Raw genomic sequence first — 14,132 nt, 5'->3', positions numbered from 1 at the left:
AATATAAGCTGGATAGAATTGTAATGTAATGTCTTACAGAATTCCTGTAGCTTCTGTGGAAATGGACTACTAAAGGAAATAGCAGAAGTAGGGAAACCTGTTGACAACGTAGTTTCTCTCATGCTTCATAAATATCTTTTAAATCCAGTATGCCTCTTTTTATCCTCCACTGCCAAATTTAATGAGTTCAAAAGAGAATATCTTTGGAATGCCATGTCGTTGTAGGTCATGATGAGAAGTGTTATAAAGTGTCTGAATGTAGAGCATTCCCATTGGTCAGGTGTTGGAGTCACTACAGGATCCAGAAAAGCTTAGCCTCGGGGATAAGCTTCAAAGTGGTCACAGAATTCAGTTATTCTGTCTGAGAGATAATTTCATTTATCTTATGCCAGATGAGCATTGACAGCTGCAATAGATATGGAGATTGAAATAAAATAATTGAAAAATGTGGTCCAACCTCTTGATAAAGCAAGAAGACACATGCAAAATAAATACATGTGCTGATGATGTAATTTGTAATACCTATCAAAATTTTATTGGTTTGCATTTGCTACTTTTGCTCTCTGCAATATTAAAATCTAACTCTTAAAAAATTTGGATCATTCTTACATAGAGGCAATAAATCTTCAGTCTATACAGAAATCTGGTATTTTACAATCATTTTTATTTTCAGCATTTCAGTTTGAAAAAACAAGCAACAGTTAAAATGCTTTTCTGTAAGTACAAGTATTAGTATTTTAAGAATATTGAATTTTGCAATTTTCATTGCAAATATAAATGTTCACTGTTGTTAATACATTAAAATGACATCATATGCCTTAGGGTAGCCTAGAAATCTAACCCCCACATATATTTTTTTCCTCGACAGTAAACACATTCTGAATTCGAACACTGATTTACAAATGCATTTTTGGATTTCAAGCTATTTGCAAAGGTGGAGACACTGTATTGTGTACACTGCCCTGAGGAACCTTGAAGTGAAAATAAGGAACCAAATGAAGTTGATTAGATGCAGCTAAATAATATACAGTATGTTTCTAGCAAGAAATGGTTAATGTTTCCTTTGCTTTCACTTGAACCTGACTTATCTGCTGCTTAATATTTACTAGGACTTTGAGAGCTTTTTAAATTTTTTTTCACCTTTTGAACAAGTTGTCTCTGTGTGAAATTATGACCTAAAAGTGAGCCTGTAGGCTGTGTTTTGAGGTGTAAAAATAATCATAGCTGAACAAAAGTGATTCACCTATCAGTTTTCCAGAGTAAAGGAGATGAAGAGAGCAGGGAGTGAAAACATATTTTGACCACTGAGAGACAAGCTTGTTGGAAGCAACATTTCTCAGTCTCAAGATCGCTTGTGCACCTTTGCTTCTTCACTAAAGCATCCATCTAGTTAGCATATATCAAATAACCTGCTCAGCATTTTCCTAGGATGATTTACTTAACTTGTCATCTCTTAAGAAAAGAAACACACATTTTCCTCAGTCTCAGCCATTGGTGGAAGTGATGTCACCATCTTGAGCAATGGAAGCTTACTCTTCCAAAGTACTGGAATGCCCAGATTCCACAAGGCTTTCACCTCCCTGGACAGAGGAGAATTTTTGCTGACTTACCCCGCTGTACATATTGCTACAATTACGGGGGATTAAATGGCAATGTAATCACATAATAAGTTTACTTGGCTAAGGAGGAAAATGCAACTTATAGAGAACTGTGATTTCCCAATGGGCTAACACAGCAGAGGAAGCATTTGAATGGTGGATGTAGAGATGAGGAGTGTTTTGTTCCACAATCCCTCTGATAGTTATAACTCCCCAATAAATAAGAGCATTTTGATTTATTCTCTTCATCACGATGCTGCTACCCATAGGTTATTCTTTCATTTTTCGGTAAGTGGTAATTGACCAACTTCTCTCACTCCTGTAGCATTAAAAAATAACCTCCCCTTGCAGACTCCATATTGTTTTCTCCTTTTTACAAAGGTCAATATACAGGTATACATTAAATAATTTTCATAAAATAATGCTAGTTACTCCCCAAAGATATCAACTATAGCTATGCTGTATTTGGGGTTATTGTTTCAGAAGCCAACTGGGCACACGCATTCTTCTCTCACCCCTGTAGAGTGGGGTAATGAGAAATGCTTTCAGAGCACAAACCTCCTCAATGCCAATTGTTACGTCGAAAGTGCACACCAAAATATTGAGCGATACGATGTGCCTTTAAGTAGATGCTGGATGTCCACCCAACATGCGCTCTGTCTAAATTGATAATCCCCAATCAAAGATTTGTTAGGAATAATATTTTGGGGTAGGAACCTTCTTATTTTTTTATGGTTGGGTTGCCACATTCAGGACTTATGGTGATGAAGCACTGGAAAAGCCAGAGATGAGGTTTTATACTGTGATTTCTAGCAATAGTTAACCATGGGCAAATGTTTTTAATCCATAGAGTTTTACAACTGTATTCTATTTTCCTTGGCCTATGAGAAATGCAAATATTACTTCTTTACTGTTAACTCTATCAGTTCAGATAATCATGATCTGAAATCAATGTTTTTAGCTAAAATAAAAATCTGCTGTTTTATAAGGAAGTGTTTCTACATTAGAAATTATACTAATTTAAAATATGATCTTATAGAAAATTGAAAAATCAGCATGATATGGCGGGATTTTTGACAGTTATATTTTTTACTTTTACTTTTAATTGATACATAATAGATACACATATTTTGGGGGTGGAAAGACATATTTTGATGAATCTTGTCCAAATATCTGTTTTATTAGGGGAAAATATTCGAAGGAAAATGGTTGATACTTTCTCTTCAAAAGTTTTTCCATGCTAATAAAAGAACATTTAGTTTCTTTGAAAATCCGTGCTTTTTACACAATTAGCAGTTTCAGAATTAATCTTTGTTTTTCATTTTCTGTAAGTCAAAACACCATACGAGGTGTGTTTTTTCAAGAAAAGAAAATGAAAGGAAGGAAACAAAAAGACAATAATTTCCTCCTTCAGCACATTCTCTTTTTACTTAAACATTTGTGGAAGTGAGAATGTGTCTGTGTTTGGAGCATCAAGCTTCAGTCATGATGGCTTCATGTTGTAAGAACCTGCTCCAAAACCTGCTCTCTGTGTAGCAGCTCAGATGGAAGGACCAAAAGTGTGTAACTGTGCTGGCTCAGCTGCAGGACAACAGTTCTCAGCCACCCCACATGGTGGAAGCCTTCAAACAGTTATAACGCCAACCGCAGAGATCACCAGGGTTCCAAAGATCAATTGCTATGATTCCATGCTAGAATTTAAATAATATTTGGATGTGTCACCAAATGTCTTCTCCTTCTATCTCTCTCTCCCTCCCTTCTTCCCTCCCTCCCTTCCTCTCTCTATTACACTGGGGCACAAACATACACACATACCCCTTTCTTGTGAAGCATTATCCTCTGAAAAGAGAGTAGTGAATTGTTCAAGATATATTCCATCATTCTGTAAACAGTTACCCTAACTTATTATAGTAAAAGATACTGAAAACGATTGTAGAAAGGTTTTAAAAATACAACTACCGAATTCTGAGTATTTGTAAACCTCTGTTTATCCGGAAACGAGCAATATATTGACCGTACTGTTGCTGTCTTTTTCCTTCTTTGTTCCATTTAAAAAACATATTTCACATTTTATTAGAACATTCCTTTGAGGATAAGAGTGAAAGGAACAAATGAAAAAGCTATATAAGTCATGTATGCTTAGTTTTTGGTTGTTTTATAAATGTAAGGTGAAGGGAATTAAAGTCTAGCATAAATGTTTAGAGACAGTAGATTTTATGATTCCGTAACTGAGAGTTGACTATACATATTATTGCTTTGAAAAAAATTGCAGACAAATTTTGTCTTTTATATTGAATGCTGATTTTTCTACCCTACCTAGCCATCCTGAATACCATCTTCAAAATTGCCTTCCACATAATTACTGAATAATGTCTTCTAGATGCTTAAGATGTTTGGTTAGTCTTTTCTTTACCAAAATCTCCCATTTGCCAAACCTCACCTTACCAATTCTGTAAGTCGTGGGCCAGGCCTAGCTAAGAGATCAAGACCTCTCTGGCTATTTGCTTATAAAGAAACTTCAATAAGCCAGAGTCCTCTTTCTCTGCCACATAATAGGCAAACTCTTTTCCTCTAATGAGCTTCTTAAAAAAGACCCTTTATCTAATAAATTTAACACTCTAATTTAGGGAGTTTCAAGAATAAGGGGCTTGTTGCCCCTTATTATAACATTGTAACAGGTCAATGCAGGACATGTCTGGCTAAATTAAGACTGGCTCTTCAAATGTCATTATGATGACAGCCTCAAGGTATCCATGTGCTCAGCCCTTACTACTTTCCCATGTGTGTCTAATGGTCCTCATAAACATAACATGTCCAAAAGAGAACTCTTGATTTCTCACCCTCTGCATCTCAACAACTTTCTTTTCTCCCCCATCTCAGCAATTGGCACTCTCTCATCCTCTACACCTTATTTTCCCCCATCTCAGCAAATGGCACTTCCATTCTCCATCTTTGATTCCTTTCTTCAACATTCAATAAATATATCAGCAGGCCCTTTTTATTCTACTTATAAATGACCACTTCTCTTCATCTCCAACACCACTACCTTGGTCTAAGCTTCTGTCATCCCTCTTCTGGACCAGAAAAAGCTTCCAAAAAATATCCCTGGTTTTCTCTTGCAGCTCTCCTATTTAAATTTATTTTAAAGACAAGTTAGATATTTTCTATTCAATTACTTCCCATTACTCCTAAGATAAAATTAAATCCTCCTCACTTCCTTTGGTTTCCTGCATTATCTAGTCCTTTCCTTTCTATAAGCTTATTAAGCTTCAAGTATTCAAGATATGAGCAAATAATTCAAAAACTCCAACAAAGACCAAACAGTACATGTGACTTCAAAGTTCAATAAACCTACTCATAAGAACTAATATTCATTGAATTCTGTCTGCATCAGATGTTTAACACTCATTATCTCATTTGAATTTCACAACAATACTGGGAGCAATTATTATTTCCATTTTGCAAATGAGAACACTGAGGCTCAAGGTTAGGAAATTTACTCAAGGTCAGGAAATTTACTCAAGGTCTCACTGCTTAAAAGTAGAAGAAACTTGAAAAGATTGAAGCTCAGCATTTTTCTAAAAAGTTTGAGCTCTTCATCTGTCTTTTTGATGTCTTTGTCTCCCCCATTATTCCGATCTGAGAAACTTGCTGGTAAAATGAAGCCTCAACATGGCTTTTTAAAGCAGGATTAAAGTGTACTTAAGTTTGCACTCCAGAGGCAGGGAACAAACTTTGGCAGCATGTCAGAGTACACTCCTACCTCATTCCTGAGCTGTGGTTTGTTCCTTTTTAGAGGCTAGAATTTTGATCAAACTGAATGATAGGAAAAACATATATCCTTCAATAATTGGTCAGAATAATAAATGTCCCTAGCCGACATGGGATGCTGTGGAGGAAGCATAATAAATTTCATGCCGAATCAGCTTAAGAAGGCAAGCTGAGGCCAAAGAATCACAGCTGTCATTTGGCTGTGGGAAAGGGTTCAGAGGTCCCTTCTACTGTTCATTCCCATGAACTTAAGGTTCTCAGGGGCACTCCGGGAGGTGACGCTCCATTTTCTGTAGTAATGTGACCCAGAACATGACAGATTGCTAGTAGTTAATCAACAGGTTATGATAAAAGTTCAAACCTGATTTATTTCTTTTGCCCAAGATTGGCTGTATTTTCATAAACATAAAAATACACGCAAGCAGCTGAGCAGATCTCACAGAAGCCAATCCTATCAAATGGACATTTCCAACTGATATTTTATTATCTGGAAAATTCATAGAAATTGTAAAACATAATTAAATATTTCAGATTTCCAAATAGAAGTGACATCTATCCACAAATGTAATTTTTATTTATGTAGTGCAAACTTTATGTTAAGATATTTAAAATTTAGGAGAAACTTTTTTTGTCACAGAAGAGTAAGGCTCAATCCAAATATGAAATGTAAAGGATGACATGAGAATGGAACTTTGCCACATGCAGGAATCTTGCATTACTTTAAAAATGTTTTTGGACTATGTGTTCCTGAAATATTTAAATATTTTAGGAATTGTCATGATTGGCAATTTGTAATAAAACTTTTGTGGTGGTGTGAAATTTGATGATGAAAGTAATAAAGATGATAATAAAAATAAAACACTAACAATAATTGAGTGTTAATGCATGCCAGGTACAGTTCTGTGTGTTTTGTATTTATTAATTTAAAAATCCTCACCACAACCTGATAGCATAGGAAACTTTCTTGTCTCCATTTCATAAGAGGAGAAATTGAGGCACAGGAAGATGAACAATTTGTCCAAGGCCTGACAACTAATATATTGCAGAGTCAGCATTCAAATCCAATCCACCCTCTTCCCAAGCAATACAATATACTTCTAATTCATAGGTTTGCATTCATATGTAGTATGCAATTTTTAGGTATAGTATATATTTATGTAATATAATTATAATACTACAGTATACTTCAGAAACAGAAGCCAGCAGTACTCCTATGACTAATTCAGATAGGATCATCAAGAACTGGCACTAAAATGAAGTTTTCAGAAATTAAGACAGGAAGCTTGTGGTTTCAAAAGTTATGTGGTGATCACTGTGATACAGGCAATGACTTCTGTTATTCCATCAAAAGAAGAACTTGCGGGAGGACACAGTTAATGGAGAAAGAAAGACAGAAATGTTAGTTTTGCCAGTGGATTCACTGAATAGCAGCTATCTCTTAAGCCAGAGGATACAAGTTGCCAGGAAAAAAAAGTTCACATATTCCCTTTCACATTTTTATTGCATTTTTATTGAGTCCTTTAGTTCTTGATAGAGTGTATAAATATATAAATATATCTCTAATTTACATCCTGTATTGTGACACATTTTGGCGTTTGATTTACCATTTTTATAAAGCCAGTGGATCTGGTAGAACTAAGGGCTTGTTGATTGGGAGAGAAACAAACAAGAGAGGTGCCAAGTTCTCCAGGGCAATGGTTGAATTATTTTGACTGTTGCCTTCCTATCAGCGTACTTTTTTGTACCATCTCAGAATTGGAGCACCAGGAAAAGGCTTATTTTTAAAAATGACATTCAAATAGAAGAACACATAACAGCAGAAATTAGAGTGCAGTTTCCAGCAAATAGTTTGAAAATCTTATACACTGTCAAATGAAAACAAACTTCTTGGTCTTTAAATTAGAAAAATAGTGAGAGGATCAGAAACAGCTGTGGCACGTAAGGAAGAAGAAAAACACTCAGCTGTAGTGTGGGGAGTTGATGCTGAACTATAAAAAATTGTCATTGGATTTTATTACATGCTGGCTAATTAATGATAATGAATCTTATTTTTTTCTTTGTACATTTTGAACATATTTAAAGATGAACAGGCAGACTACTTGGTATGTATATCTGTGCTAACCTTGGCATCTGAAATTTTAGTTCCTCTTTTATTCTGGAAAACTCAGGATAGGAAAGACACTCTTCTCTTTAAGCCAGTAACTGAGTTGATTCTTAGGCTGGCTCTTATCATTATTATTTAATTCTTCCATCATATAAAATGTTTCATTTTCCGCTATTATCATCAATAATGCCTGCATTAACTATCCGCTTCGTGGGACCAAAAAATAAACGTGAAGAAGCTTCAATACTATGACTAGATAATTTTTTTAGCAGTTAAATAAATGTTGACTACATTTGTTCCAGCCACACATGATGAATATGATTTCTCTCTGTCTTCCCCAAAGCTAAGAAGCTAAGTTCTGTGTTTTATTTGTATGTTTATTTGTATTTTTATATTTATCTCTCTTGCCAAACAGGTCTTAGGACAGCAAATAGTTGGTATTTTGGGAAAGTGTTCATTGAAAATGTCATCGTGCTGTTTTCGCTGTATTTCTGTACAATCGTTGTATATAAGGATGAGAATATATGTAGCTTTCCAAATTCAAAAGCCACTTATGGGGTTGCGGGTACTGTGGTCAGAGTTTTGGGATCTAGGTGAGTAGATAGACACCTAAAAGTCATTAATTCTGTAGTTTTTCTCTGGTGGCAGGGCTGTACACATGTTTATGGTAGGGATGACATGGCTACATTTATTAAGATACAGAAAGCATTTATTTTCCTGGACTTCTACAGCAAAACCACAATGATACCTTAGCGGGAGACAGCCCCCTGGCCCTCACCTCAGTTGCTCCTATATTCACCACAGCCTTAGGGACACCCTTGATTCTTTCCGTTCATTAAGAAAAAGGTATAATTGTTCTTGTTTACTTATCTTCTGAAAAACATTAAAGAGTTTTTTTTTTAAAATAAACAAACCCAAAAACTAGCCTACAAAACACCTCAAAAACATTATGAAGCCTTTGGTAAAAACAGGTTAGACCGGGACTATATTTGGTCCTTAGACTGATACCTCGACATAGAAAAAGTAACATTTTAGTATTTTGATGTTGGTGGATAATGAAGGGTGAAAGGAGAAAAGGAAAGAGTCACCAAATTTAGGCAAAAACAAGAGAAAAACAGTTCAGACAGTAATTGTCAGGAGGTTCCTTTTCCTTTCAACTTTCAGGGACTTTAAAACTTCAAATGAACCAAAAGTAATTTTGTATTCCATTGCCCCTCAGTTTCTAAGGTTGAACGCTTCTAAAGCTTAACAAGTCACTAACCACGTTCAACTTTGTCAGCTGGTTTCTAAAATGAATTTATATGTGTGTACATAAGTATATATCTATGTTTTTTTGCCAGTTCTGCATACATGAAGATAAATCCCTATCAACCTCATAATTGGTGAAGATTATAAAATAGAGAACAGCCAAGATCAATTATTGGCAAGTATGGCAAATGAAAAAGAATAACATGCATATGTAGGTTAGAGATAATTTCTATGACATAATTAAAACTAATAAAATAGAATTGGGAAATTAAGGATATTGCCAAGAAAAATAGTGAGAAATGTAGCAGTAATATAAATGTGATGATGGTAGCAGAATTGGGTAATAATTAAGACACACTAATTAGTCCCTGCAAATCAAGAACTCATGATCAATTGGATGCAGACTAGATTATGTTGACCTTTGCTTAGCAAGAGATATTGTGAGCTAATAGTATTTATAAATTTTGTAGGTGAATATAATGCTTGTATTGACTAGAAATAAAGTGTTTCAAGCATACTTATGCATTTAGTAGCATCTTGTAACATAAAGAGCATTTGATGTTAATTATAATTTACTCCTATCCATTTGTTTAAAAATAAAATCCACTAAGAAACCTGAGTACATGTTTGTTAAAATGAGAACCGTGCATTCAGATTTAGATTTTACTGCATCGAGCAATCATTTAGTTTCCAGGGAAAGATTGAATGTTCATTTAAAAGTTACTTTTGATAACTCTATGGAAAAGGCACTTGTTAATCATCTAAATGCTGTGAATTTAGATGGAAAGTCATATGAAAAGTGAGTGTTATCATACATTTAAGATCTTGTACTTATAATGTTATTATAATCTTTTGCAATGCTTAATATTCTATAATTAATTAATTTAGTTTTTGATTACATTGTAAATTTTTTCCTGAGTTAAAACAATCCATCTTCTTTTTGGAAAAATTGTTTAAAAATTTTTATTTTTAAACAAATGGATAAGAGTAAGTTATAATTAACATCAGATAGAAAAGTTAGAAGATAGAAAAATTTTAAATCACTTTTTATTCCATCATTGTGAAAGTTTTAGTGTTCTTACCCTCTTCTTTGTATATGTGTGTAATTAATTTAGAACAGTATTTAATTAAAACAATCTTAACAATGTTGTTTTAAATTAAAAAACACAGAAGCTTCTTAACATTTTCTGTCTTAATAAATAAAATGTATTAAGGAGAGTAATTAAAGAAATAATGGTCTGCATAAAGAGACCATCTGTAACTCTTAGGTGGGATTGTAGCACTGTAGACAAGTCAAGGTGCCTATCCTGAAACTATTCATCACAAACTCAACCACATAAATAAAGGCCCAATAAGATTGAAGAGTCAGATTATTTTTTGCATCAACTAGCCCTCCAGTTTATTGTTGCAGTTTATTTTGTCACACCTGGACATTGCTAACAGGGTGTTTCTTCTTCCTCATTTTTGTGGCATCCTAGCATTTATATCTTTGACTCTGATCATAGGAGCCTCTTCAGATTATAAGAGTGGACTGCAGTGGAGCTAAGAAAAAACAAGCATGGAGTTTGATTTTATAAAGCAACCAAAGTCTTGTTAATAGTGTAGTCAGCATAATCAGTGCTCATGTTTTTGACCCATTACTGTTTTCTACCTGTCTTGTTTTTAGCTTACAGTATTGCCCATAAAAAGGAAGCTTCTGATCATCCTATGGGAGTGTACTTTGTCATAACTAAAGACAAAAATGTGTCCAGTGAGTTTCTGATTATTCTCTATGTGTGCAGACATTTAACAAACACATTACATGTCTATTAAATTGTCTATAAACATTTAACCAGACATTTCAGAAAGAAAGTCAAGAATATTTCCGTAAAATGTGACAAGACTGGCTATACTGAACTAATAAATAAACCCTGAAATATAAAATTAACAAATATGAGGCTTACTAAAAGGAAGGTTTGTTTCTCATTCCCACAAAGTCTGAAGCAGTTCAGGTGACACTTTATTCCGTACTGGGATTCAGGGATGCAGGCTGCTTCTGGTCTGTGGCTCTATGATCTTAACTCACGGTCTTCAGGCTTGTCACTGAAGAAGAGACAAAGGAGGCACGCCAGCTTTGATTTTAGCTGTGCATTCATTCTCATCTCTTAGTCCATGTGCCAAACTAGTCACATAGCTTTCACCTACCCAAGGGAGCCTGGAAAATTTAGTGGGATGTATGAGTTAGGATTAAGCCACAGAAGCAGAACCAGCAGGAGATGTATATATTAAGAGATTTATTACAAGAAGCGGGTTTACGCAGTTGTGGGAGCTGGATATGCAAGGCTGAAACCCACAAAGCAGGCCACCAGGAAGGGGAGACTACAAGTAGGCTGAAACTCATAGGTACTTTGGGCATTTGCACCATAGCCTACGGCGGTTATCAACAGGACTTTTTTTTTTTTTCTCTTCCTCTCAGGGAAATCTCAGCTTTGCTTTTCATCAGGCCTACCCAAATTAGCCAAGATAATCTTCCTTATGTAAAGTCAAATGATGACGCACTTTTAATTATATCTACAAACTCTCTTCACAGCAACACCTAGCATATTGTTTGATTGAACACTAACCCAAGTTGCCAAAATGACACATCACAAAAACCATTACCAGGGAGCATATGAAATAATAGGTGAGCTCTAATGACCCCGGCCAGAATATGAGATAATTATACTAGGTCTCACAAGGTATCATTTATTAAGAGCTGCAACAACAGAGAAAAAGATGTGAAAGGACTGATGGGATCAATGGGCCTGTGAATTTGTGTGCGACAAAGAAGAGAACCATCATTTAATTATATAATATGTTCATTTCATCATCTAGGCTGAGCTAGTAATTAAAGATATTTAATCTAGAAAAATTGTATCCAATTTTCAGAAACCTTCCAAGAACCAGCAAACACCTCATCATACCAACTTTTCCTAGCAGAGTTTGTTTTCATATTTTGTTGAATTGTGATACTAACTAAATTTCTATGCATGATCTTGTCTTTTTTTTAATTCTACCTATTTTGCTATGCTATTCATCTCCTCAGCATCTCATGCTTATTGTTAAATTCCTATTAGTCAGTGCAAACTAGCCTATTTCTTTTTTCTTATGGCTGTTGAATTCGCATTTTAGTTGAAGCTTAAATTCTGACTCATAATTATCTTTCTTCCTTTTCTTGTACCTCTTGGCATTGCCTTTATATTCTTCTTTTGCTTCTCATTAGCAGCCCACTGAGCTGTATCACTTTCTCATGGCAGCAATGAGCAAGATAGCTTTAATTTAGTAACTTCTCATTGCTGCCAGCCAGTTGGTCCTCCCCATTGCCCAAGTCACAGCTGACATCACTGTTGTCAGTGTCACCTGGTAATGGCTGATGGTGTTTCACATACCTCCCTATGTTCTGAAAGTAATATTTGCCAAGAATTGGCCAGACACTAAGGTGGTTGGGACCAAGCAAATATTCCATCTGTTGCCTGTATTTGTTCTCTGCATACTGCCTGAATATTACCTGGGCGGGGTGGGGGTGGGGAAGACACACTTCCACAAACATGAGTTCTAGTAGGGAAGGAGCCAAAAGCAGGCCTTTTCTGGCCAAGTTGTGCTAAACCTTTCTCTGTTGGCAGTTACTCTTTGCCAATCAGTCAATAAGTCAAAACTAAAAGCTGCAGGAGACAGACAAAGTGATGCAGAATTAATGAACTTCTTTGTGCCAAGGTACAAAAATAATATTTGGGAAATAAACATTTTAGTTTTAAGGTCAAAGTTATTTCACCTTGGGACCACTATTAGATTAGCAAGTGATTTGTCAGTCACAGACAGCTGTTGTAGGTAGTCCTAAAGTGAAGTGATTATACTCATTAAGCCAAAGTATATACTTTTCCTTTATTACCTATTGGGTCAAGATCTTACCTTATTATAACACACCTGAATATAGATTTTCATTGCAGAGTATAATTAGTGCATGGTCTATTGAGTAAGCAATATGAATTTTTAAAATTGTCTAAACACCTCTTTACATGCCAACTCTGGTGATAATTACCAAATGTCTATATCTAGAAAAACAGGCAATTCAGAAATATCAATTTGTGCTATTATTTATGATACACATGTGCTAGTTTTCCCTAAATATAGACATTTGGTAATTATCACTGAGACTATTTGTTATAATTCCGAAGTAGATCCCAATGAAATAGAAATATAATTTATTTGGTAAAAATGTAAATGCTGAAAAATTCTCATTATCTTTCTGCAGAGTACAGTTCTTAGTTTCCTATTCATATTTCATGTAATAATTTTGGATTAGCCATCTGGTTTGTTGAGGGTTGAAAATCTGTTTAACACCAACGCAGAATTTTTGTTAAAAAATAAAACAAGTCATACAGAAATCACAAATGTTTTCAGGTATTTCACAATGCTAATAATGAATAGCTTTTAGGATATGGCGTGTAATTTGCACTTTTATCTTTAGCATTTTCTTTTCTTTTCATTTGTATAATTTAGATTCGCCTTCAGCATACTTTTTAAGACTATTTTTTAGGGATGTGTCAGTATGAATGGTTGATATATAATAAATATTACCAAAAAACTATGTTGGGCCACCCACATTTTTCCAGTACCACTCTTTCCCTTGTCCAAGTGGTTAGCTCAGTGCATTAGTTAGAATCCCCTGAGTGAATTAGATTTTCTTAACGACTCCAACTCTATAGTCCTGAGATTGAATTACTTCCTCTCTATCCATATCTGCAAATGGATTTCAACGCTCTGCTGCTCATCCTGGATAGAGGTGATTGGTTCACACTGGAGACTAGGAAGCGGAGTTTGCATTTATTGGTATAGATCCATCACTTCATCTGTGTGAAAGCCTTGAAGTATGTGCTGCATAAAAAGTTGAAGAACAGACACTATCTGACTTCAAGACTTACCACAAAGCTACATTAATCAAAATAGTGTGGTATTGGTGAAAGAATAGACAAATAGATAAATGGAACAGAATAAAGAGCCTAGAAGCAGGCCCACAGAAATGTAGTCAACTGATCTTTGACAAAGGAGCAAAGGCAATACAATAGAGAAAAGAGTCTTTTAATAAATGGTTCTGGGATAACTGGACATCCATCCACATGCAAAAAAAATACATCTAGGTATAGATCTTACACTCTTCCCAAAAATTAAGTCAAAACGGATCACAGACATAAGTGTATAATGCAAAATTATAAAATTCCTAGAAGCTAACATAGGAGAAAATCTAGATGATCTTGGGTTTGACAATGACTTTTTAGATACAATGCTAAAGGCATGATCCATGAAAGAAACAATTGGTAAGTTGGACTATATTAAAATTAAAGTTTTCTGCTCTGTAAAAGACACTGTCAAGAGAATAAAAAGACAAGCCAAAG

The 14,132-nt window shown here is 34.9% G+C and overlaps 1 long non-coding RNA gene across 2 annotated transcripts in view; it reads right to left on the bottom strand.

Moving 5' to 3' along the window:
- Positions 1 to 644: 644 nt before the first annotated feature.
- LOC102724637 (uncharacterized) overlaps positions 645 to 14,132 on the bottom strand; it is a 71,709-nt gene continuing 58,221 nt past the window's right edge. Inside the window, exons 5-6 of one of the 2 annotated variants that reach the window (NR_188242.1) lie at positions 10,665 to 10,803; positions 645 to 3,289 (exon numbers count right to left, since the gene is read on the bottom strand). This is a non-coding gene — a long non-coding RNA (uncharacterized LOC102724637). The remainder of the gene's footprint in view (positions 3,290 to 10,664; positions 10,804 to 14,132) is intronic. The other variant, NR_188243.1, reaches the window with a different exon arrangement.

Source organism: Homo sapiens, chromosome 5 (assembly GCF_000001405.40).
Source record: "Homo sapiens chromosome 5, GRCh38.p14 Primary Assembly".
NCBI classification, from domain to species: Eukaryota; Metazoa; Chordata; class Mammalia; order Primates; family Hominidae; genus Homo; species Homo sapiens.
This window is presented reverse-complemented; position numbering and strand designations above follow the sequence as displayed.